The sequence below is a fragment of the Homo sapiens genome, chromosome 2 (assembly GCF_000001405.40).
Source record: "Homo sapiens chromosome 2, GRCh38.p14 Primary Assembly".
Taxonomy (NCBI): domain Eukaryota; kingdom Metazoa; phylum Chordata; class Mammalia; order Primates; family Hominidae; genus Homo; species Homo sapiens.
This window is the reverse complement of record NC_000002.12, coordinates 96,242,624-96,266,038: the sequence shown is the minus strand read 5'-3', so window position 1 is coordinate 96,266,038 and position 23,415 is coordinate 96,242,624. Positions and strand designations below refer to the sequence as shown.

At 50.4% G+C, this 23,415-nt stretch overlaps 1 protein-coding gene across 4 annotated transcripts, besides 8 other annotated features; it reads left to right on the top strand.

Moving 5' to 3' along the window:
* On the top strand, positions 42 to 17,525 carry TMEM127 (transmembrane protein 127). Of its 4 annotated transcripts, none has more exons than NM_001193304.3 (4): positions 42 to 170; positions 550 to 901; positions 11,042 to 11,206; positions 11,924 to 17,525. In NM_001193304.3, the coding sequence occupies exons 2-4, from the start codon at positions 658 to 660 to the stop codon at positions 12,229 to 12,231; spliced, it is 717 nt and encodes a 238-aa protein (NP_001180233.1). In that variant the 5' UTR covers positions 42 to 170; positions 550 to 657; the 3' UTR covers positions 12,232 to 17,525. The 4 variants fall into 4 exon arrangements, with proteins under 4 accessions (NP_001180233.1, NP_060319.1, NP_001394212.1 ...); NM_017849.4 differs by having other exon boundaries at positions 527 to 901; NM_001407283.1 differs by lacking the exon at positions 550 to 901.
* Positions 153 to 202: a silencer, noted in NCBI's record as "silent region_11761". NCBI's record gives its function as "represses an Ori minimal core promoter by ATAC-STARR-seq in GM12878 lymphoblastoid cells {active_cell/tissue: GM12878}" and the evidence as "EXISTENCE:reporter gene assay evidence [ECO:0000049][PMID:35858748]".
* Positions 213 to 422: a silencer, noted in NCBI's record as "silent region_11760". NCBI's record gives its function as "represses an Ori minimal core promoter by ATAC-STARR-seq in GM12878 lymphoblastoid cells {active_cell/tissue: GM12878}" and the evidence as "EXISTENCE:reporter gene assay evidence [ECO:0000049][PMID:35858748]".
* Positions 473 to 782: a silencer, noted in NCBI's record as "silent region_11759". NCBI's record gives its function as "represses an Ori minimal core promoter by ATAC-STARR-seq in GM12878 lymphoblastoid cells {active_cell/tissue: GM12878}" and the evidence as "EXISTENCE:reporter gene assay evidence [ECO:0000049][PMID:35858748]".
* Positions 4,573 to 5,504: an enhancer, noted in NCBI's record as "H3K27ac-H3K4me1 hESC enhancer chr2:96926273-96927204 (GRCh37/hg19 assembly coordinates)". NCBI's record gives its function as "activates a minimal SCP1, AML or CMV promoter by ChIP-STARR-seq in primed H9 embryonic stem cells {active_cell/tissue: H9 hESC(primed)}" and the evidence as "EXISTENCE:reporter gene assay evidence [ECO:0000049][PMID:30033119]".
* Positions 4,573 to 8,075: a biological region, named in NCBI's record as "VISTA enhancer hs1919".
* Positions 4,687 to 8,075: an enhancer, noted in NCBI's record as "VISTA enhancer hs1919". NCBI's record gives its function as "enhancer in: heart[8/13]" and the evidence as "EXISTENCE:transgenic organism evidence [ECO:0001131][PMID:17130149]".
* Positions 4,850 to 5,099: an enhancer, noted in NCBI's record as "active region_16211". NCBI's record gives its function as "activates an Ori minimal core promoter by ATAC-STARR-seq in GM12878 lymphoblastoid cells {active_cell/tissue: GM12878}" and the evidence as "EXISTENCE:reporter gene assay evidence [ECO:0000049][PMID:35858748]".
* Positions 5,505 to 6,438: an enhancer, noted in NCBI's record as "H3K27ac-H3K4me1 hESC enhancer chr2:96925339-96926272 (GRCh37/hg19 assembly coordinates)". NCBI's record gives its function as "activates a minimal SCP1, AML or CMV promoter by ChIP-STARR-seq in primed H9 embryonic stem cells {active_cell/tissue: H9 hESC(primed)}" and the evidence as "EXISTENCE:reporter gene assay evidence [ECO:0000049][PMID:30033119]".

Sequence of the window (23,415 nt, the reverse complement as noted above, 5' to 3'; positions counted from 1 at the left end):
GCGGGGAGCCGGAGGAGGCGGAGGCAGAGGAGGAGGAAGCCGGAAGTGCATCGGCCCCGGGTCTGTCCGGGCGTTGCGGGATTGGGGCCTGGGAACGCTCGGCCCCCGGCAGCCGAGAAGCCCGTGACTGGGCTGAGCAGCACCATCCCAGCCCTGGGGCCTGCTGACTGGTGAGGAACAGTGGGCGGCGTGGGGAGGGTCTTTTCTGCGCACAGGTCGCACCCCAAACCGCCGGTCCCAGATCACGGGTCCCCGATCCCCGCGGCCCAGCCCGGTCCTCCGCCCCTCGGCATCCTCTGGCTGAGACCCTGACTCCGGGTCTTTGCTCTAGCAGTAGCCGATCCCCGATCCCTCCGCCCCCCACTCGAGTCTGCCCAGACCCCATCTGGCCCCTGGCCCTCTTCGGTTGTCGTCCCGCAGTCCCATTCCGGAGTCTCCTGTCTCCGCCCCCCGAATTCCCGCAGCCCTCCCCGTCTCCGTCAGCCCCGGGTCCCACCCCCCTATCCTCTGGTGTCAACCCTGACAGCCCAGTCCCGGCTTCACCTGCAGCGAACCCGGAGCGTTGCTATCCTCCACCGGACTGTCAGGCTCTGCGCGCCCCGCGGAGGTCGGCGGCGACCAGCAGCGACTGCGGAGCGACGGCGGGCGGCCCCGGGCATGTACGCCCCCGGAGGCGCAGGGCTGCCCGGCGGGCGCCGGCGGAGGAGCCCGGGAGGCAGCGCTCTGCCCAAGCAGCCGGAGCGTAGCCTGGCCTCGGCCCTGCCTGGCGCCCTGTCTATCACGGCGCTGTGCACTGCCCTCGCCGAGCCCGCCTGGTTGCACATCCACGGAGGCACCTGTTCGCGCCAGGAGCTGGGGGTCTCCGACGTGTTGGGCTATGTGCACCCGGACCTGCTGAAAGGTGAGGGTGCTGCGCGCTGGCCCTTAAAGCCTCGGTGGGGGACAGAATGTGTTCTGGCTGAAGCAGAGATAGCCAGGGACCAGACACTTGGTTGAAGGAAACGGCCCCATAACTGCCTGGTGTTCATGCCCACCAGGTGGCTCTGTTTGGGGTCCGGCCCCTCATTAATTCTGATGTTATTCAGCTAAGCACCTACTCCTCACAGCCATGTTAATCCGGACTGCTGCTATTTTAGGATTCTGCTGGAGGAAGGACGCTGTGTATCGAGAAAAGATAAGGGTGCTAGGTATCACAGTTAGCTGGCCTCTTCTAAGGATCCTGTGAAATACGGAAAAGCTTCTTTGGGGCAGACTGATTAATGGAGAAAAAGGAACTTTTAATATGACTAGGTTTTAAAAGATATCTTAGAGTTCTATGGTAATCGGATGCGTATTAGAGAAGAAGGGAATCTGTGGCATTTTAGGTAATCGGAAGACCGTTCCATTGCCACCCGCAGTACAACAGTCGGAATGTGGCTCTTGGAACCATTATAGGTGTGCCTGACAGAGGCAAGGTTGCTTTGTTCATCATCATGCTTTCCGGCCAGATAGACAGCAGACGATGGGAGGGTCCTATGGGCCCCATAGTTTATCCTGCCCATTCTTGTCTCCAGTAAAAATTGTGAAGTGTGAGGACAGGACTGGACTGTATCACCTGCTTTTTACCCTAACAATGATCAATGTACCCCAAACAGTCCTTAGTAACAGCATAGTTCATCAACCCCAAGGTCTTTTGAGCCATCTTGAAGGTCTTATATCCTCTCTGTGCTATCCTGTCTGTGCTATTCCCTGGCTGTGATGCATTCCAGATGTTTACTGCACCGCCTATCAGAAGCACTTCCTGTTAGATATCTGCGTGTTACCTCCTGAAGAATTCAGGCACTGGGATTTGGTGAAAAGGTCCAAGTTCCCCGCTGTGCATCGGACCATACTCTGCTTCTGCAGGTCTAGGCTGAAAAGCCTCATCCTTGTGGCCAAATGTTGCCTTTCTCTGAGTGTTCTCTTACTGTTTTGCATCTCTCTTGAGTTTTAGAAGCTGTAGGGTGATTTTGTAGAAGGTTGGGGACAACTGGTTGTTTCCAGATTTCACCTTAATGGTACTCTTTGCTGGGTTGGCTCATTAAAGCCAAAGTTATGCACACGACAGAGGCCTTATATGCAGCCTTTTCTCTGTCATGTTGCTAATGGCACAAAGAGCATTAAGCTTGAGTGAGTCTTGGTGGTTTTTCTTTTAGCACATTGCCCTGTACTTGCTTTCTTTGAAGCACACATACCACCTTCCCACCACTAGACCCATCAGATCTAGAAAGCTAGATCTCCGAAATCTAGCACTGCATGGGGTGTGCTTAGCTGTGGCTCAGAAAAATGAAGGATCTCCCCAAGGCTACCCAGTTTAGGGTGGCAGAGCTGGGACTACCCCACCTCTGTTGATGCCAATATAAAATGATGCCGTGTCATTTATAGTTTTTATCCTTTGTTTTACTTCAGCTGTCATAAGGAGCAATCTCATAATTATTTCACTTTGGTGTGCATCCTTGTCGAAGGCATGTTAAAAATAAAAGTAAATTTTTGAGCCGGGCGTGGTGGCAGGCATCTGTAATTCCAGCTACTTGGGAGGCTGAAGCAGGAGAATCGCTTGAACTTGGGAGGCCGAGGTTGCAGTGAGCTGAGATCGCGCCATTGCGCTCCAGCCTGGGCAACAAGAGCGAAACTCCATCTCAAAAAAAAAAAAAAAAAAAGAAAGGCCAGGAACTGGCTCACACTTCTGATCCCAGCACTTTGGGAGGCCGAGGCGGGTGGATTGCCTGAGGTCAAGAGTTGGAGACCAGCTTGGCTAACATGGTGAAAGAAACCCTGTCTCTACTAAAAATACAAAAATTAGCTGGGTGTGGTGGCACACGCCTGTAGTCCCAGATACTCTGAAGGCTGAGGCAGGCGAATCGCTTGAACCCAGGAAGTAGAGGAGTTGCAGTGAGCCCAAGATCACACCACTGCACTCCAGCCTGGGCAACAGAGCAGAGCAAGACTCCATCTCAAAAAAAAAAAAAAAAGTAAATTCTTGGTGCAGGTTCTTCTTTGTTCACATGTGTATTTACCCTTTCTAAGAAATTATTCGGGCCAGGCCAGGCATGGAGGCTCACACCTGTAATCCCAGTACTTTGGGAGGCCAAGGCGGATGGATCACCTGAGGTCAGGAGTTCAAGATCAGCCTGGCCAACATGGTGAAACCCCATCTCAACTAAAAATACAAAAATTAGCCAGGCCTAGTGGCTGGTGCCTCAACTACCCAGGAGGCTGAGGCAGGAGAATCGCTTGAACCTGGGAGGTGAGGTTGCAGTGAGCCCAGATCACACTACTGCACTCCAGCCTGGGCTACAGAGTGAGACTCCATCTCAAAAATTAAAAAGAAAGAAATTATTCAGGCTCCGTTTTGTCTTTTGCAAAGCATGTTTTCTTAACCTTTACATTACATTTGCTCACATATTTAGAGACCTTAACCTGTGTATAGTTTCTACTTGCTTGCCTGTGGCCATCTCCTAAGAGCAGTTTGTGCCCATTAATAGGAGAGTTGGCAGTGGTGCCTCATGAGCTATCACAGAAGAATCAGTAAGGAATCCGGAAGTCCTTGATTGCATCTTCTCTCCCTTTTCTTTGTACCTACTGGTTTTTTGGTACCCAGTGGGCCTTCAGACATGTAGTATCCTGTGTGACTGTGCTGATCCTCAGGGCCTAACAGATATCCTGACCTGAGAGCCTGGAGTATTCCACATCTCAAGAGGGAGCAGAGCTGTCAAGCACAGATGTGGTGCATATAGAGTTTTTTTTTTTTTTTTTTTAAATGAGACAGACTCTTGCTCTGTCACCCAGGCTGGAGTGCAGCGGCGCCATCTCAGCTCACTGCAACCTCCGCCTCCCGGGTTCAAGCAATTCTCCTGTCTCAGCCTCACGAGTAGTTGGAATTACAGGTGCTCCACCATGCCCAGCTAATTTTTGTACTTTTCGTAGAGATGAGGTTTCACCTTGTTGACCAGGCTGATCTCAAACTCCTGACCTCAGGTGATCCACCCACCTTGGCTTCCTAAAGTGCTGAGATTACAGGCATGAGCCACCGCTCCTGGCCACATGTAGATACTTCCAGAGGGAGAACAGACCCTGCCAGGTCTCTGCCGGTGATGGGAGTTGGGCAGCCAGCAGGCCCTGGAGCAGCCTTACCATTTCTCAGCCCCTGCCTGAGTGCCACATTTTGACATTATGCTAAGCACACCCCATGCCTGCTTTTTTCCTCCTAAACAGCATCTTTATTTGGTAGGTACTGTTTCAGCCCCACTTCAAAAGGTCCCAGCTCAGGGAAGCTAGGTAGTTTGCTCAGCTAATCTGAGTGGACATTGACTCCAAAGTCCATACTCTTACTGCAACACCTTAGTGAGCTCCGAGTTTATTTCCCATCAAAGCTGCCTGAGGCTTATCACTTTCCTATTCTAGTTGAGTTTTATCATAAGCCCAGCCAAAGCTGTGCTTTTTGTCATAACTTCATCGCCTCAGTGTTGAGGCTTTAGTTGGTGATCCCAGGGCAAAGCCACTCTCCCATTGTCATTCACAAAGCTTCAGAGGCTTTAGCCAATGAAAGCTGGCTCCAAAGAACCCATCCTGGGCTGGGTGTGGTGGTTCACTCCTGTAATCTCAGCACTTTGGGAGGCTGAAGCAGGAGGCCAGCAGGATCACTTGAGTCCAGGAGTTCAAGGCTGCAGTGAACTATCGTCGTGCCTCTGCACTCCAGCCTGGGTGACAGAGTGAGACCCTTCCTTTAAAAAAAAAAAAAAAAGACCTCATCCTGGGTTTTCTCCACTGCCCCTGCAAGCGGTGCCTGCTTCTCACACAGCTCTCAACCTGGCCCTGGGTGGAGATAGACTCACACCTCTAGACCCCAGAAAGAGGGGCCGCAGATAGTCATTTCTTCTGAGCCTTTCTGCCTCTCAAGTGTGGCCACCAAAGGGCACTGGCAACAGCCCCAGGAAGCATCTTTGGAGAATGAGGAAGTTGGGGAGTAGAAGTCAGGTGAATCACAATTGACAGCAGCCACTGGAAGATCAAGGGCCTTCCAGGGAGAGCCTGTGTGCCTGATAGGTGGTGACTGGGGCAGCTGACACTGCCAGGCCCTGCGGGGCCTGTTGGTGTCTGTGGGATAACCTGGCTGGGCACTAGAGGGCTCTGTTAAGAGGCCTGTGTCGCAGGCCTGTCTGGAAGCTAAAAAGGTCACAGTGAGGAGACGCTGAGCAGGTTGCACAGATGCATAAAGAGGGATTGGGGCATTGGGGAAGTGTCTCTAATTCAGAGGGACTCCAGCAAGAAGGGAGGCGGGGTGGGACAGAAGTCCTTTTAAGCCTTTCTGCCTGCAGACTGTTTGGGTCAGGAGTGGTTAGAGCAATGGGCAGATAGACAGGAAGAGGCAGGACCTTCAAAACAAATCTAGCCTGGTGACTCACCAGTGACCTTGAGCAAAGTCAGTTCCATGGGATCCTATTACAGCTGCCTACTTCCCTGATGACTAGAGGGCACCGCCAAGCAGTGTTTACCAAAATCAACAGGCCAGAGCACAGCTGGAAGGTAGGAGGTGTTCTGTGTCTAGCCAGGGCATCGTGGACTGCACCACTGGCTTGAATTTCAAGTTAGGGTCCTGCGTTGCATGCCATTTCTCTCTCGAATAAAATCCTACATACATAACCTTCAGGGGTTTTCTTTAGCAATCCCCTCATGGGAGCAGGTGCTTGTTGCCTTCCCTGCTGTACCGACGTCTAGGAAGGGAGGAGAGAAAGACATTGAGATACTGACTCCAGAAGAGTCTCTGAGCTGGGCTCCAAGCCTGTCTAGGATAACTGCCTGTTCTTCCGGTGTGCTCTGAGACCCTCTGAGGAAAACCCACCTGTTACATGGGGCAGGCCCCTGGGGTATCTGTTAACGTTACCCAAAGGGAATTTCATATTTGGTTTTCTCACTAACCCTGAGGGTTTACTCACAGCTTTGGAGTGGGGAAAGGCAGTTATATTGAAACAAAACCTATTGGAGTTTTAGGTCAAAAGTCTCTTCTCTCTATCATATTGTCATACTTGTAGGGTAGGCCCTTAGTCTGGCTTTAGTAGGCCTTGGTCCACACGGGCTGACGTGTGGTCAAGGAAGTCTTGGTAGAAGAAGGAAAGGCATGCTGAGGTGACACACTGGCCCAGCTGAAACAGCCTCTGGTTAATAACAGCACAGGTGGCTGCTCTTTCATGGGCACGGTGTCAGCTGACCCAGCATGCCCTGGTGGTGGGTGGGGCAGATGTTATTGTTTTCATTTGATAGATGAGAGAACAGAGGTCCAGCGCACTCAAGGGACTTGCTCAAAGTAACACAGTCTCTGCTAGAGCTAGGATTCGGCGCCAGGTCCCAAGCCTTTCCGGTGTCCTGACCACTTCCTAGAGCAGGCTCTGATGGTTGCAATGCTGCAGGAGCTTAGACACCATGCCTGGCAGGTTTTGCCCAATAATTCCCCATGTGAGGACTTAATGACCCAAACCTTTTTTGCTTCTTAGAGAGATTTCATTGCTTCAAGCTGTTCCTCTAGTGAGCTTAGCAGCTGGCTCTGAGGATGGCTCCAACAGTATTCCTGTTAGCTTCTGACCCCTCATTCACGCACAACTCTTTAGGAATTGATTGATTATCTCCAGGGAAAAATACAGTGGCCGAGTCTGGTACTTAGTGATTCCGAGCAGCACAGTGTAGGGGAGCCTGATCATGGTTTGGAATCTAGCTCTGCAGCGTGTGGCCTGGAGGAAGCCACTTCACCTTCTGGAGCCCCCGACTCCTCATCTGAGCTGTGTGGTAAATCCCCCAGGGGGGCACTTCACCCATCTGTGTGCACAGGCTGTTCCAGGAGGGGTATACAAGGCCCCTCCAACAATATTTGCCTTTGGAGAGGAGCAGGTGGACATCCGCAAGGGGAGGGATGTCCTCTTGGAAGCTTTTTATCATGTGCATGTCTCCTTACTAGTAAAATTCATGTATAATGAAACATAAGACAATAGGAGTATATGTCATGGATGTACATTTTTAAGGATAATCAAATGAACATCCTTGTGCTCACCATCCAGCCAAAGAAACAATACAGGCTCCTTGAAGCCTGCACATATTACTTTTCTTACTCCAACTGCCTGGCCTCATCAGTAATGTGAGTGGAATCTGACACGGCCTACTGCAGAGCGGCATGTGACCTCTGGTAGGTTATTCTTGGAAGCACTATAAGAACACTGCCCCATCCCTGCCACATGCCACGTGGACCCCAAGAAGAACTCTCTTAGCTTTTAATAAGATTTAAAATACAGCCAGGAGATAGCCCCTGTCTCCTAGAGCTTTTCTTTCAGTGAGGCCCCATGCACTATGGCTCTGCAGGGCTGGGTTCAATGAAGGCTGGTCCCAGTTGCTGGCAGGGTTCACACACAGGCAGGCTTTCTGGCAGTAGACAGTTACCCAGGCTGGATGCTTGGGCCCAAAACAGATGGTCAGCAGACAAGAGATCATGACAGATAGTTCTGAGGGCTGCTTCGTGGGTGACCCAAAGCCAGACAGAGGTGTATGAGCCTTGTCTGGGCCCAGCCAGCCTCTGCTGGGCGAACTCTGAGCCTGAGGCAGGGTATGCGTGCTCAATCCTAGAGGCTCAGGGCTTCTCTCTACCCAGAACCTGTGATGCTGGCATCTGTTGGGCTGAGTCAGCTTTGCTGGGTTTAGGTCCCCTCCCCAGGTTCCTGGACTTTCCCCCATCAGTCCACCTTCCTCTGAGGTCTGGAACCAGTGTTTCTTGAAGTGTGGGGCTTGGATCACCTGCATGGGGATTACCTGGGCTGCTTGTTAAAATCCAGATTCCTAGGCCCTGCTCCAGACCTAGAACTCGGACTCTCTGGGGACCTGGGAACACGCTTTCAGCCAGTGCCACAGTGATTTGGGTATGCCCTAGAGATTGATGATCACACCCCACACCCTCTCAGCCTGAGATCAAGTTCAGGAAAGGACGCTATATAGCCTGAGTCTTGCCAGCCCTTTCCAAATTTTCCTAAATCACTTGGTGACCCATGGCCTAAATAAAAGAAGAACTTGCCAGTGGCTGTAACAGAAGAAGGAGAGGAAGTTAAGGCCCATTTCCTACTTTTTTTTTTGAGGCGGAGTCACTCTGTCACCAAGGCTGGAGTGCAGTGATGTGATCTTGGCTCACTGTAACCTCCACCTCCCAGGTTCAAGCAGTTCTCCTGTCTCAGCCTCCTGAGTAGCTGGGACTACAGGTGCACGCCACCATACCTGGCTGATTTTTTAAATTTTTAGTAGAGACAGGGTTTCACCATATTGGTCAGGCTGGTCTCAAACTGCTGACCTCAGGCGATCCACCCACCTCGGCCTCCCAAAGTGCTGGGATTACAGGCGTGAGCCACCATGCCCGACCCCATTTCTACTTTTTATGAAAGCTTAAAATACTTAATCATGGCCTGGTTTCTTTTTGGTTCAGCCTTTATTCTACCCTATGCTTCTGGGAGCTTTTGCAGTTTGCATAGTTATCAAAGGAGACAGACAGTATCATCTAGTTTTTTGTTTTTTTGTTTTGTTTTTTGTTTTTGAGATGGAGTCTCGCTCTGTCGCCAGGCTGGAGTGCAGTGACACGATGTCGGCTCACTGCAACCTCCGTCTCCAGGGTTCAAGCGATTCTCCTGCCTCAGCCCCCCGAGTAGCTGGGACTACAGGCGCGCGCCACCACGGCCGGCTAATTTTTGTATTTTTAGTAGAGACGGGGTTTCACCATGTTGGCCACGCTGATGTCGAACTCCTGACCTCAGGTGATCCACCCGCCTCGGCCTCCCAAAGTGCCAGGATTATAGGCGTGAGCCACTGTGCCTGGTAGTGTCGTCTAGTTGAAATGTTTTTTTAAAGAATGGCTAAAGTACTGGAGGGAAATACAAGTTGCTGTGTGTCTGCTGCGTGGTTGTTGTCATGGGCTCTCCCTGCACCATGACCCCCAGGAACCCCTTGAGTGCTGTGTCTTTTCTTTCAGCCTCTTCCTTTTCCTTCATTTATGCCCTTGACGTGTGCACGTTGGCACTGTCCAAGGCTTCTGGGGCTTTTGTGGTATAAATGTGGTGGCTTCCTAGCTTTTCCTGTTGATGGCTTGTCCCCAGCTCTGCCGAGTCTGCTGAGTCCCTTTTAGGTAGGTCTATTTCCCTTTACTTTCCAGTTTTTGGAACCTTGTTTTATACCTCCCTTTCTTTTTGTGTGGGTTGCCTTTTAAAAGAATTCTTTTGTTCTCGTAGAGTTCAGGGAGGGAGCTAAACTAAATGTGATATAGTCTACCAACTTTCCTAATCTATGTAATACTTTCTTGTAGCTGCACATTTCTCTAAACTGCCGCAACTTCCTTCTTCCTCTTTTCTTTATTTTACTTTTTTTTAAAATTGTGGTAAAATATACATAACATAAAACTTAGCATTTTAACTTTTTTTTTTTTTTTTTTTGAGACAGAGTTTCTCTCTTGTTGCCCATGCTGGAGTGTGAAGGCGCAATCTCGGCTCACCGCAACCTCCATCTCCCAGGTTCAAGCAATTCTCCTGCCTCAGCCTCCCAAGTAGCTGGGATCACAGGCATGCACCACCACGCCCGGCTAATTTTGTATTTTTAGTAGAGACAGGGTTTCCCCATGTTGGTCAGGCTTGTCTCAAACTCCTGACCTCAGGTGTTTTGCCCGCCTTGGCCTCCCAAAGTGTGGGATTACAGGTGTGAGCCACCGTGCCCTGCCAACATTTTTTTTTTTTTTTTTGAGACAGAGTCTCACTCTGTCACCAGGCTGGAGTGCAGGGGTGCAATCTCGGCTCACTGCAACCTCCACCTTCCGGGTTCAAGCAATTCTTCTGCCTCAGCCTCCAGAGTAGCTGGGACTACAGGCGCATGCGATCACACCCAGCTAATTTTTGTATTTTTGGTAGAGACGGGGTTTCACCATGTTGGCCAAGATGGTCTCGATCTTCTGACCTCGTGATCTGCCCGCCTCGGCCTCCCAAAGAGCTGGGATTACAGGCGTGAGCTACCATGCCTGGCCAATATTTTGTTTTTTTAAGAGACAGGGTCTCTCTCGGTCATCCAGGCTGGAGTGCAGTGGTGTGATTATAGCTTACAGTAACTCCTGGGCGCAAGCAGTCCTCTTGCCTCAGCCTCCTAAGGAGCTAAGACTATAGGCATGCGCCACCATGCCCAGCTAATTTTTTTTTTTTCCTCAAAGAGACGGGGTCTCACTATGTTGCCCAGGCTGATCTCAGACTCTTGGCCTCGAGCAATCCTCCTGCCTCAGCCACCCAAAGTATTAATAACCATTTTAAGTGTTGAGTTCATTGATATTAAGCACATGCATCATGACTATCTGTTTCCAAAACTATCATCATTTCAAACTGAACCTTTGTGCACATTAAATGATAACTTCCTGTTCTCCCCTCTCCCTACCTGCTGGCAACCACCATTATATTTTCTGTCTCTATAAACTGATTATTCTAGGTATCTCATATGAGTGGAATTATAAAATATTTGTCCTACATTTGGTTGATTTCACTTAGCATAGTATCTTCAAGTTCAACTTCTTTTTGGAACAAAAAGGGAATGAATGAGTGAGTAAATGGAGAATCAGCATTAATTGACCTGTATGGTCTTAGCCTCTCTGGCTGTCTCAGCTCCAAAGTCAGGCTTTTCCTGCCAGCTCAAAATATCCTTTAGCAGAATGCATTAACATGTCAGGTTAACTGTCAGTGTCTTTAAAAATGGTTAGAAGGGCATGGCATACACAGTGAAGTAGAATCCTGCACTTAGGCTAGTCCTGTTGGAAAGAGAAGGACTTGAGGTACAGGAGAGCAGTGGCCTCTGCTAATGTGGAATTTGCTCCAGCTACCCTGCAGACCACCCAGGAGCAGGGGCTAAGACAGCGTCCTCCAGAACTGCCCTGGCTCCCAGGACTGTGGTGGAGGGGAATCAAACTCCTTCTAGGTGGGGACTTCCTGCACCAAGTGTTACTTGGGGCCGTGAAAATTTGGTTCTCCCTCTACAGATTTCTGCATGAATCCCCAGACAGTGCTGCTCCTGCGGGTCATCGCCGCCTTCTGTTTCCTGGGCATCCTGTGTAGTCTCTCCGCTTTCCTTCTGGATGTCTTTGGGCCGAAGCATCCTGCTCTGAAGATCACTCGTCGCTATGCCTTCGCCCATATCCTAACGGGTAAGCCGTGAGCCTGCTCACAGTGGGAGAGGAACTGCTACAGGGTGGGGGCATCCTGTCTGAGTTGCCGGTGGGGGCTCTGGTTTCTCTGAGCAGGCACCCTTCCAGGAGCTCATGTGCCAAGCTCCAGTCTTTCCCAGAGTGTCAGGGTGTCAGCAGCCTGCTCCAGTCTAGCTGCTAACTTGCCAGGATCACAAACCCACTCAGCCCAGCTGTAGAGGGGAAATGTTGCTAGAAATTCCACAAGGAAGCTCACAGCTCTCTAAAATGGCATTTGAAGCTCAGACCTGACATGAGTGAAGAAGGAACCAGGCAGTCTCCCGTGTCTCCCCTGGAGCTCCTGGTCAGATTCTCTCCTCTCCACCTTCCTGCTTCCCTACAGACCCGCCTTTTCTTGTATGTAGCTGCTGTCCTCCCTCGTGCCTGCACTGCTGTGCTGGTTTGAATTGTGGTGTGCCTACTCCAGCTCCCAAGCTGCATGACCCTATTTGCTCCTTAAGACAGATGGAATCTGACTGGCCTAGATCAGGTCAGACTGCTGTCCCCAACCTCAGGCCAGGAATCCCATGGTCAAGAGAGCTCCTCCTTGCAGAGTCTGGGGCCAGGCAGGTTCTCTGAGAATGGGGTTTGGGTAGAGAGGCTGTGATTGGGTCCTCAAGCATCCTAGCTGTGGAGTGCTCACTAATTCCCCTTCTGTGCTGTCCCTCTGTCTCCTAGTTCTGCAGTGTGCCACCGTCATTGGCTTTTCTTATTGGGCTTCTGAACTCATCTTGGCCCAGCAGCAGCAGCATAAGAAGTACCATGGATCCCAGGTCTATGTCACCTTCGCCGTTAGCTTCTACCTGGTGGCAGGAGCTGGTGGAGCCTCAATCCTGGCCACGGCAGCCAACCTCCTGCGCCACTACCCCACAGAGGAAGAGGAGCAGGCGCTGGAGCTGCTCTCAGAGATGGAAGAGAACGAGCCCTACCCGGCGGAATATGAGGTCATCAACCAGTTCCAGCCACCCCCTGCTTACACACCCTAATGCCAGCCCTGGGCTCTCTTCCTCGGCAGCCCCTCCCTCAACTCTGCAGCTCCTCTCGCACCCAGAGGAGCTCCTTTCCCCAGCAGGCCTCACTGGTAGGATCCTGACCATCTTCTCCAAACCTTCCCCAGGAGAGACTCTGCCTTTAGGGTCATCCAAGTATCCCTGCTCTCAGAACCGGAGGTCCACTGGTTTTCTATAATGTACTCTTTCCCTCCTGCCACATCCTGCCCCCTTCACATTCACGAGTCATTACCAGCCAGGGAAGGTCATCCAAGTTTCCTCCAGCATGGGCGATATCTTTGGGACCGAGACTTTCCTTGGAGAGCTGCTGAGAGCGGACAGTCCCAAAAACAAGTGTCAAAGGGCCCAAGGGAAAGGGGACTGTGCCCTGGAGGCTCACTTCACAGGGATCAGTGTTTGCTCCACAGCTGTAGCTCTGGGCTGACGCCCCCCAGACCCCTTCCTTCTCGGAGTGACCCGCCCCCAGGCCACCTGCTCCGGGGAGTTCTGTGCACTTTACTCTTTGGACTTCTCCTCACGTGTGCCCTGGTTTTATGGGGAGAGGGAATCGCTGTTGGGAAGGCAGAGCAGTTGCAACCCTCTCTGCCCTTGCTTCATGTGGCTGGAGCCCAGGCAAGGAGAGCAGGAGCCAGCGTGAGACTGAGGCCCCCTGGTGCCTATCAAGGACCAGAGTGAAGGGGACTACATCTCCCAGCCCTTCACCTTTTAAATATGAGTGGTTTTAAAAGGAAAAAAATGAAACCAGGCAACAGCAACAATATTCTGTTTTTAAAATAGGGACAAGACTGTTGTCACTTTTTAGACATGTATCCCATTCCTTTTGGCTCTGCAATATTTGGGGCTGTAGCTCCTTCCAAGCCCATGGTAGTCCCTCCCCGAGTCTCTCCCAGTAGAATGCAGCCTCCCTTCCCTGGCCCCTTCCCTCTCAGTGACGGTGACTCCCTGGGGCCTTCTCGTGGAACCCAGAGGGGCTGAGGACTGTGGCCTGGCTGGCGGGCCAGCGTGGTGCTCCTCAGGACTGCAGCACTGAGATGGAACCTGGCCTCAGTTTAGGAACAGGGGCCACAACAGGGCAGGAACCCACCACCCTCCACATAGGAATACAACCAGTGGGGCCACATCATGTGAGGCATCAGACCCACACTGTCAGCCCAGCAGGCCGGGCTGTGTCCTTCAGACCCAGTGCTGCCCTAGACTCTGACTCGGGACTCCAGCTTGCCACGTGCCCTCTCCCCTCTTGAATGTACTCTGGTCTTGCAGTGTGCTGCTGGGACTTTCTTGCTCAGCCATCACTCTGGTCACCTTGTTTGCTCTGGGTCTGGCTGAATTTTCTGCCCTGAGATCTGGGCATAAAGTGGATGAAACTTGAAAGACCTTCAGTGTAGATCCAGATGGCCAACCTGTCCTTGTTAAGTTACTTGCTTCTTGGGAATCAGTGTCCCCTGCTGAGCTGAAAAGGAAATGGATTCCAATCTCTTCCAACCTTTAAGGTGATAGATAGTTTGAGCAAGACTGGAGAATGGACAACACTATGAAGCTGTGGCTAGAAAGGGACTGTCATGTCCCATCCTTTGGCCAGATTGACTGGGGATGTCCGGACAGATGCCTGCATGGGTGGTGAGGGCCACATCTGCACACGAGCCAGTGGCTGCTTGCAGTTCACTGCTGTGATGCCAGAGTGTGTTCAAAGGTGACTCTCCTGCTCTTCTGGACTCTTCTCTCAGGCAAGAAAGGCTGCAGGCTGCCTGCTATGTGATGCCTGAGCACAAAGCCAAGGAACTGAACTAAGTCTTTCTGTTAAGTCCTGAGTTTGTCATTGGCAGGTTTACTTGTGGCCAGCTCTCTCTGCCCTTGGGTGTCTGAGCAGGCAGACCAGAAGACCAGGCACTGGACCTGCATGCCAAAGGGACTGGTCATCTCCTGAGGACCTGTAAATGACCCTGTGGACTGTTCCGCACGATCCGGAACCCACTTTTTATTCACTCCCCATGTCTTTGGCCTTCCTCTTCTTTCTCTTTCCCTCTGCCATCCTGACACTGATAGTTTGTCATATAAATTCCCCGGGTTGTGTTTTTTTTTCTAGAAAAAAATTAAAAGGGAAAACAAAACCAAAAAAACCAGAAACCACGAATAAGAATGGAAATGACAATGGCTGCCTGTCATTTTTCTGTCACGATTTTCCTGATTTGGTTTGTTCCCTTTGTCTCAGAGAAGCAGGAGATGTTGATGAGGCTGTATTTTTTTTTCTTTTTCTTGTTTTTGAGACAAGAGTCTCGCTCTGTCACCCGGGCTGGAGTGTAACGTGGCATGATCTCAGCTCACTGCAACCTCTGCCTCCTGGGTTCAAGCGATTATCCTGCCTCAGCCTCCTGAGTAGCTGGGATTACAGGCATGCGCCACTATGCCCAGATAATTTTTTTGTATTTTTAGTAGAGACAGGGTTTCACCATGTTGGCCAGGCTGGTCTGGAACTCCTAACCTCAGGTTATCCACCCACCTTGGCCTCCCAAAGTGCTGGGATTATAGGCATGAACCACCGTGCCTGGCCAAAGATGTAATTTAAAATAGTTAGAAGGGACTTGGCATGGGCCAGCTCCGTGCATGGCATTTTCACCCCCAGAGCTTCCTAATCCTGTTTTCACACAGGAAGTTTCTAGGTCTTTCTAGAACAGCTAGAAATAGTAGCTGACTCCCGCCCAAGGCCCAACCTTCAAACCCTGAGCTCTTCAGGCTGCATCCTCTGGTGAGCTATAGAGGAGAACGTGGCTCCTAAACTCTAGCCATCCTGTGGGAGGAAATAGACTTCTTTGGGCTGTGGCTTGCAGAACAAACTACACTTTTTTTCCCTCTATTGTTTAAATTTTATTTAATAATTTGTGTGTTTTTCTGTCTTTATTTTCTGTATTTCACGTGTTCCTTCACTCCCTAGAAACTGCACTTTCTTTGAAACCATAGGTAATGAATCTTACTAGGAGAGGCATGGGGATAGAGACAGTTCTGGGAGTGTGACCTGTAAGCCTCCTGTAGGGCAGTGCCAGGCCTTGATTGCCCACGTTCTCTCCGTTCCTTCTTCCTTCATACATTTGATCACACAGCCTACACCCAGCCCCGAGTGTGCATCACGGTAAAAGAGCTGAGGGCTCTCTTCAGGGAGCAGCCCATTTAGGTCTCTTTTGTTGTTGTTAGGGAGAATACACATCTTTCTTGGAAGCTGGGAGTGTGTTCTCATTTCATGTCCATTCAGACAAAGCACCATTAGGCACCATGAAATATACAGTGACGGACAGGACCCTGTCTGCAAGGATTTTATGTCCTTAGTTCAGGAGATGGACTTGTCCACAGAAAGGCAGAGTGAAGTGGGCGGCCGGCTCGGAAAAGTCCTGTGCCCAGAAGGGAGCCAGTTCTGACCTGAGTGATAATGAAAGGCTTCCTGGAGGACGCAGCTTGAGCCACACTTGATGTGGGAGTGAACTGGGATAGGGACACTCCTGCTGAGAGAATGGCAAGAGCAAAAGCACACTGGTGGCCAGGAGGTGGTAAGAGCCGAGGTTAGAAAGGTGAGGGGTGCTCATTTAAGGCACTAACAGCAGAAGGAGCCCAGGAAGGATTTTCAGAAGGGAAGGGAGGGATGCAACCTTATTTTAATGACTGGTGACAGTAGGAAGGGTTCTGCCTGGCCTTAAGTGAGGGTGTTGAAAGTGGGAGACAGGACCTGCCAAAGGGGAAGAGGGCGGTCACAGTCAATCCCAGGGCCCAGTGTCTCAGCCAGGTGCTGGAGTTGGGAATGCGGGAGCCCCAGTCTCTGCCCACCTGTCACGTGGCAGCTGGAAGGTGGCATCAACTGCACAGGCGAAGAGGGGCCCGCACACGAGAAGCCATGGGATGTGAAGGGCCGCAAGGAGAGGACCCTGGGACACAGGAAGAGGTGGTGCATCTGGGGCAGGGCGGCTTTCCCAAGATGACTAGAGAATCTTCAGCTGGCATCTTGCCTGAAATATCCACGCTCTCAGCCACTACACTAATGGAACACAGATGCTATGGGGAGACAGAAGGGAACTGACAAACTTCATGCCCCTGTTTTCAAATAGCCTGCAATCTTACCTCTTCCTCTGCATTTTTTGGGGGGAGTGACATTTTAATGGGAGGCAGGAGGTTTGTGGAGAAGAGAAAATGTTTTTTTTGTGGGGGTGGGTAGAGACAGTCTCACCATGTTGCCCAGGCTGGTCTCAAACTACTGGCTTCAGGCAATCCTTCTGCCTCCCTTCCCAAAGGGTTGGGATTACAGGCTTGAGCCACTGCACCAAGCCTGAAAATGTCGTTTTGAATGAGCCCACCTGAAACGAAGACGCTTCATTAGGGTTACTGGTTTGAGAATTAAGATCAGTTCTGGCCGGGTGCGGTGGCTCACGCCTATTATCCCAGCACTTTGGGAGGCCGAGGTGGGTGGATCACAAGGTCAGGAGATCGAGACCATTCTGGCCAACATGGTGAAACCCCGTCTCTACTAAAAATACAAAAATTAACCAGGCATGGTGGCAGGTGCCTGTAGTCCCAGCTACTCGGGAGGCTGAGGCAGGAGAATCACTTGAACCCGGGAGGCAGAGGTTGCAGTGAGCCGAGATCATGCCACTGGACTCCAGCCTGACAGAGTGAGACTCCATCTCAAACACACACACACACACACACACACACCACACACACACACACAGGTTCCTCACCATAAGCTTTGGGGAAAATTCTTGGCTTTTTTGCTGGGGGAGAGAGCAGTGCCCAGGGAAGATTGGCTGATCTCAGAGCTGGAGGGTTTATGCGGGACTGGCCAGCCCCTTCAGCTGAGTGGGACAGCAACACAGTGGGTGGTAAGGGGCTTCATAAGATGTACAAGATGAGGGAGAGGCCCCTCCAGCCAACCCTGTGTCTAAAGAGTCAGGTAACGAAGAACTTTCCAGAGACAGCTGTGAGTCCGTCTGGCTTAAGGGGTTGTACAGGTGTCTGAGAATGGGGCCTGAAGGTGCAGGGCCTGCAGGCTGCCCTGTTTGGAAGGTTCCTGTCCTTCTGTCTTGGTAGAAAATGGCAGCTAGCCTTGTAAAGGGCCTCCTTGTGTAGCGAGATAGACCATGTAGCCCCAGATGCCCCCATGGCTTCACTTCCCTCTTGGGGGTCTCTCAGTATATGTCTAGTGCCACCACTATTGGTGGAGAGTTTCCTTCTGGAATAACCTTGGGGTGGTGGATGGGTTTTATTTTAATAAAAGAAGAATGTCTCATTCATTTTTTCTTATTTATTTTTTGAGACGGAGTCTCACTTTGTTGCTCAGGCTGGAGTGCAGTGGCAAGATCTCGGCTCACTGCAACCTCCACCTCCCCGATTCAAACAATTCTCCAACCTCAGCCTCCCAAGTAGTTAGGATTACAGGCATGCACCACCATGCCTAGCTAATTTTTATATTTTTAGTAGAGATGGGGTTTTGCCATGTTGGCCAGGCTGGTCTCAAACTCCTGACCTCAGGTGATCCGCCCGTCTTGGCCTCCCAAAGTGCTGGGGTTACAGGGGTGAGCCACTGCGCCCTGCCCCGTTATTGATTCTTTCCATCTGTTTGCTTCCTCATATTCTAACGGGGTATGGGAAATTTGCTTGCATGTACACACATGCAATTTCTTTCCTTTTTTTCTCTTTTTCTTTCTCTTTCTCTTTCTTTCCTTTCTTTCCCTCCCTTCCTTCCTTTTCTTTTCTTTTTTCTTTCTTTTCTTTGACAGGATCTTGCTCTGTCTGGAGGCTGGAGTGTAGTGCTGCAATCATGGCTCACTGCAGCCTCAACCTCCCAGGCTCAAGTGATCCTCCCACCTTAGCCACCTGAGTGGCTGGGACTGCAGGTGTGAGCCACTACCTCTGGCTAATTTATTTTTTGCAGAGACAGAGCCTTGCCATGTTGCCCAGGCTGGTACACACCCAATTTCTATTATGTGTACAGGCCTGTGTCTTTCTTCTTGTTTACCTTATCAGTCCATTAGGCCAGGAGTCGTGTTGTTGTTTTTATTTTTTTTTAAGGTGGAGTCTCACTCTGTTGCGAGTGGACAAGAGTGCGCTCTGGAGTGCTGGAGTGCAGTGGTGCGATCTTGGCTCACTGCAATCTCCACCTCTGGGTTCAAGCAATTCCCCTGCCTCAGCCTCCTGAGTAGCTGGAATTACAGGCGCACACCACCATGCCTGGCTAATTTTTGTATTTTTTAGTAGAGAATGGGGTTTCACCATGTTTGCCAAGCTGGTCTTGAACTCCTGACCTCAGGTGATCCGCCTGCCTTGGCCTCCCAAAAAGCTGGGATTACAGGCATGAGCCACCACACCCGGCTGGGTCACGCTTTTTAATGTGACATTCATTCAGCAAATACACTGAACACAAGTGCCTTGTGGAGGATGCAGAAATTCTAACACATATGATCCTTGCCCTCTAAGGCCTTCCAATCCAGCCACCAGGAAAGAGGAAACCTGATGACACCGAAACGTGATAGCCAAGGAACACTTCCTAAAGAAGAGACTTGATCTGGGCCTTGGAGAAGGGGCAGGCCTTCATGAGAGCATGGTGTAGGCAGTGGTGTGAAAGCAGGAAAGGAAGGGCGTGGCTTTGGGGAACACTGAGTTGATGTGAGCAGCTCCTTCCCACTGGAGGTGCAGGGCAAGCAATTAGCTCATGGACCTAGCCCAGGAGGGCCTGGAACATCAAGGTTGTCAGAATGCTCACAGCTGCAAGACCCAGAACTGAAAATTTCTTAACTAAATGGAATTTATTGTTTTCCACAATTGAAAAGTTCAGCGTAGTCGGGGGGACTGGGCTGGGTCCAGGGACTCAAACAATGACACAAAGACACAGTTTCTCTCCACCTCTTTGCTTTGTGTGTCTGCTCAGGCCATCTCTCCCCAAAGGTGGTGAAGATGGCCACCAGCAGACTGGGGCTCACCCTAGACTCCTTTTTAAGGTAACAGGATGACTCTCTTTTGCCCAACTTAGATCATGCCCCTTACCCTGAACCCTGGCAAAGAACGTGGAGCTTCCTCCTGTGGTCCAGGTAGAGGATGGTTACATGTGGGGTCTGGGATTCAGAGGTGGCACCGCTGGCAGTGGTTGGGACATGTGAGCACAAGGGTGAGGCCTACACCACTCTGAGGCCTTGGCTGCCCCTTCTCTCTCCCCCAGCCCTCGCCTTTCCATGATGGTAAGACATGAGGCCACTCACCAGCTCTGCCTTCTTGAAGAAAATCAGTGTCCTATCTTTGAACAGAGCTGGGCCTTGAAGTCAGGCTCACCCACTCTCAAACCGTGGGGGAAACAGAGCCTTGGTTACACCAGCTCTGTCTCAGGGATTGTTTTTTCTGCTTCTCTCCTACCCTTGCCCGTTTCTTCCTGCTCCTTTCCAGCACCCTCCCAGCTCCTCACTTTCCTGACTTTTGTTTTCTTTTCCAAGCAGCTTGAGCAGTGCTTGATGCTCCTGGGTCACAGCGTGCACACATCCTGGCTGTTCTGGGTAACCGCACACCCAACCCCAGTCCCATCCCCATATCTCTATCCTGAAATCAACCCAAAGGGTGGGGAGGGAGCAGGCAACAGCAGACAACAGAAGGCGGGGGTACTGAGAGCATGTGCTGCTATTCAGGTACCCTTTGCAGTAATTCCCCAGAAGCACTAACATTTCTGCTGATCTTGGAATGATGCTGTATTACTCAGGGTTCTCCAGAGAAGCAGAACAATAAGATGTGGAGATATATGTATATATACAGAAAGACATTATAAGGAATTGGCTCATACAAATGTAGAGGCTGACAAGTCCCAAGTTCTGCAGGGTGAGTCAGCAAGCCGAGACCCAGGAGAGCCGAGGTTGTAGTTCTAGTCTGAAGGCCAGCAGGCTGAAGATCCAGGAAGAGCTGATGTTTCAGTTCAAGTCCAAAAACAGGAAGAAAGCTGATGTCACCACTTGAAAGTTGGTCATGCAGGAGGGGCGCCCTCCAACTCAGCCTTTTGTTCTATTTGGGCCCTCAGCTGATGGATGAGGATCCCCTGCGTTAGGGAGGCAGCCTGCTTTACTTGCTCCACCAACATAAATGCCAGTCCTACCCCACGCCCTCACAGATGGACCCAGAGTAATGTTCAAGCTGATATCTGGGCACCCCATGGTCCAGTCCAACTGACACATAAAATTAATCATCACAGATGCCTTCTTCAGCACATGCTCGATATCTAACAAATATCTCTACGGTGAGATTTTCCCCCCAACCTTGGGCCCACTTAAGAAAGATGTTGAACTGGGCGCGAGGGCTCACGCCTGTAATTCCAGCACTTTGGGAAGCTGAGGTGGGTGGATCACTTGAGGTCAGGAGTTTGAGACCAGCCTGGCCAACAAGGTGAAACCCCGTCTCCATTAAAAATACAAAAATTAGCCGGGCGTGGTGGTGGGCGCCTGTAATCCCAGCTACTTGAGAGGCTGAGGCAGGAGAATTACTTGAACCTGGGAGGCAGAGGTTGCAGTGAGCCAAGATCATGCCACTGCACTCCAGTCTAGGTGACGGAGCAAGCCTCCGTCTCCAAAAAAAAAAAAAAAAAAAAAAAAAAAAGAAAGATATTGAGAAATTGGAGAGGGTCCAGGCAAGCATTCTGAGTGGATGAAAGGTTAAAAGTTCTAGAGAAAAGGATGTAATAGCAATCTTAAATGTGTGAGGAGATAATTATTTATTTGCTCAAATGTGTGACTTAAAAAGGCACGCCTTCTCTATAGGACTGTTTCCTTATATGTAAATGAGGGGCTGAACTGGGTGACTTTACAGTCCTGCCAGCCATAAAGATCCATGACTTCCTGAGAGGGGGCTGCCACGCTCTGTATCCACTGTGGGAGATGAAGAAGGACTGAGGAACTGAGCAGTTTAGCTGTAGCCTGTAGTACCAGCTACACAGGAGGCTGAGGCAGGAGGACCACTGGAACCCAAGAGTCTTGAGGCTGCAGTGCACTATGATCATACCTATGAATAGCCACTGCACTCCAGCCTGGGCAGCACCACCAGACCGCATCTTTCTTTCCTTTCTTTTTTTTCTTCTTTTGATGGAGTTTCGCTCGTCACCCAGGCTGGAGTGCAATGGGGTGATCTTTGCTCACTGCAACCTCCATCTCCCAGGTTCAAGTGATTCTCCTGCCTCAGCCTCCCAAGTAGCTGGGATTACAGGCATGTGCCACCATGCCCACCTAATTTTTGTATTATTAGTAGAGACAGGATTTCTCCATGTTGGCCAGGCTGGTCTCAAACTCCCAACCTCAGGTGATCTGCCCACTTCGGCCTCCCAAAGTGCTGGGATTACAGGTGTGAGCCACTGCTCCTGGCCTCTATTTATTTACTTACGTGAGTTTTTTTTTTTCCAATAGGTTTTTGGGGAACAGGTGGTGTTTGGTTATAGGAATAGGTCGTTTAGTGGTGATTTCTGAGATTTTGGTGCACCTACCACCTATGCAGTGCACACTGTACCCAATGTGTAGTCTTTTATCCTTCACCCCCTTCCCACCCTTTACCCTGAGTCCCTAAAGTCCATTGTACTCATCTCTATTAAAAAAAAAAGAAAAAAAGGCCAGGTGCAGTGGGCAGATCACTTGAGGTCAGGAGTTCACGATCAGCCTGGCCAAAATGCTGAAACCCCATCTCTACTTAAAAAAAAAAAATTAGCCAGGCATGGTGGTGTCTCGGCTGTAGTCTCAGCTACTCAGCAGGCTGAGGCAGGAGGATCACTGGAACCCAGGAGGCAGAAGTGGCAGTGAGCCAAAATTGAGCCACTGCCCTCCAGGCTGGGTGACAGAGCGAGACTCCATCTCAAAACAAAAACAAAAACAAAACAAAACGAACAACAACAGCAGCAAAAAAAGGCCAGGTTCAGTGGCTCACACCTGTAATCCCAGCACTTTCGGAGGCCGAGGTGGGCAGATCACTTGAGGTCAGGAGTTCGAGACCAGCCTAGCCGACATGGTGAAACTCCGGCTCTACTAAAAATACAAAAATTAGCTGGGTGTGGTGGCTTGCTCCTGTAGTACCAGCTACTCGGGAAGTTGAGGCAGGAGAATCACTTGAACCTGGGAGGCAGAGGTTGCAGTGAGCCAAGATTGCACCACTGCACTCCAGCCTGGGGGACCAGCCAGACCTTGTCTAAAAAAAAAAAAAAGGAAAGAAATAAATTCTTTTCCCATCTTTCTTTCTTTATTCTTATTTTTTGAGACAGCGTCTTCATCTGTTGCCCAAGGTAGAGTGCAGTGGCACAATCGCAGCTCATTGCAGCCTCTATCTCCTTAGGTTTAAGCAATCCTCACACTTCAGCCTCCAGGTTGCTGGGACTACAGGTGTGCAACACCACACCTGACTGATTTTTTTTTTTTCTTTTCTGTATTTTGTAGAGATGTGGTTTTGCCATGTTGCCCAGGCTGCTCTCAAACTCCTGGGCTCAAGCAATCTACACACCTCAACTTCCCAAAGTGCTGGGATTACCACCACACTTGGCCCTTTTCTCATTTCTAAAGTGGGTTGTCTTTTATTGTTGAGTTTTAAGAGCTTTTGTTTGTTTTTGCCATCCTGTGCCACTCTGTTGCACAGGATGGAGTGCCGTGGAGCCATCTGGGCTCACTGAAACCTCCAACTCCTGGGTTCAAGTGGTTCTTCTGCCTCAGTCTTGAGTGAGCCACTACGCCCGCCTAATTTTTGTATTTTTAGAGAGATAGAGTTTCACCGTGTTGGCCAGGCTGGTCTCAAACTCCTGACCTCAGGTGATCCGCCTGCCTCGGCCTCCCAAAGAGCTGGGATTATAGGCATGAGCCACCATGCCCGGCTGAGTTTTAAGAGTTTTTATATATTCTAGATACCAGCCCCTTATCAAGTGGCACAGAGCAACTATGGCAGAGGGCCTACAGAGATTAAGTTTGTGCCCCATAGATATACACTAAAACATTTTGGAGAAATGGAAAAATATGGATTGATACTTTCCATTGCAACAGAATTCTTTTAAAAGACAAAAGAACCTTAGATATCCTCACCAAATTTCAGGATGAAGAACACAGATATTGGAAATTCTTGCTCTAATCTTACCTAAGGGTGTATTAGTCAGTGCTGTTTTAGTTGCAAAAACTAAAAACTCAACTCAAA

What these genes read in the sequence shown, in the direction of transcription:
- TMEM127 (NM_001193304.3), top strand. Translation starts at nt 658, where the DNA reads ATGTACGCCCCCGGAGGCGCAGGGCTGCCCGGCGGGCGCCGGCGGAGG. An exon ending in GCACCCGGACCTGCTGAAAG is followed by an intron (nt 902 to 11,041) that starts GTGAGGGTGCTG and finishes CTCCCTCTACAG; the next exon opens with ATTTCTGCATGAATCCCCAG. An exon ending in CTTCGCCCATATCCTAACGG is followed by an intron (nt 11,207 to 11,923) that starts GTAAGCCGTGAG and finishes TCTGTCTCCTAG; the next exon opens with TTCTGCAGTGTGCCACCGTC.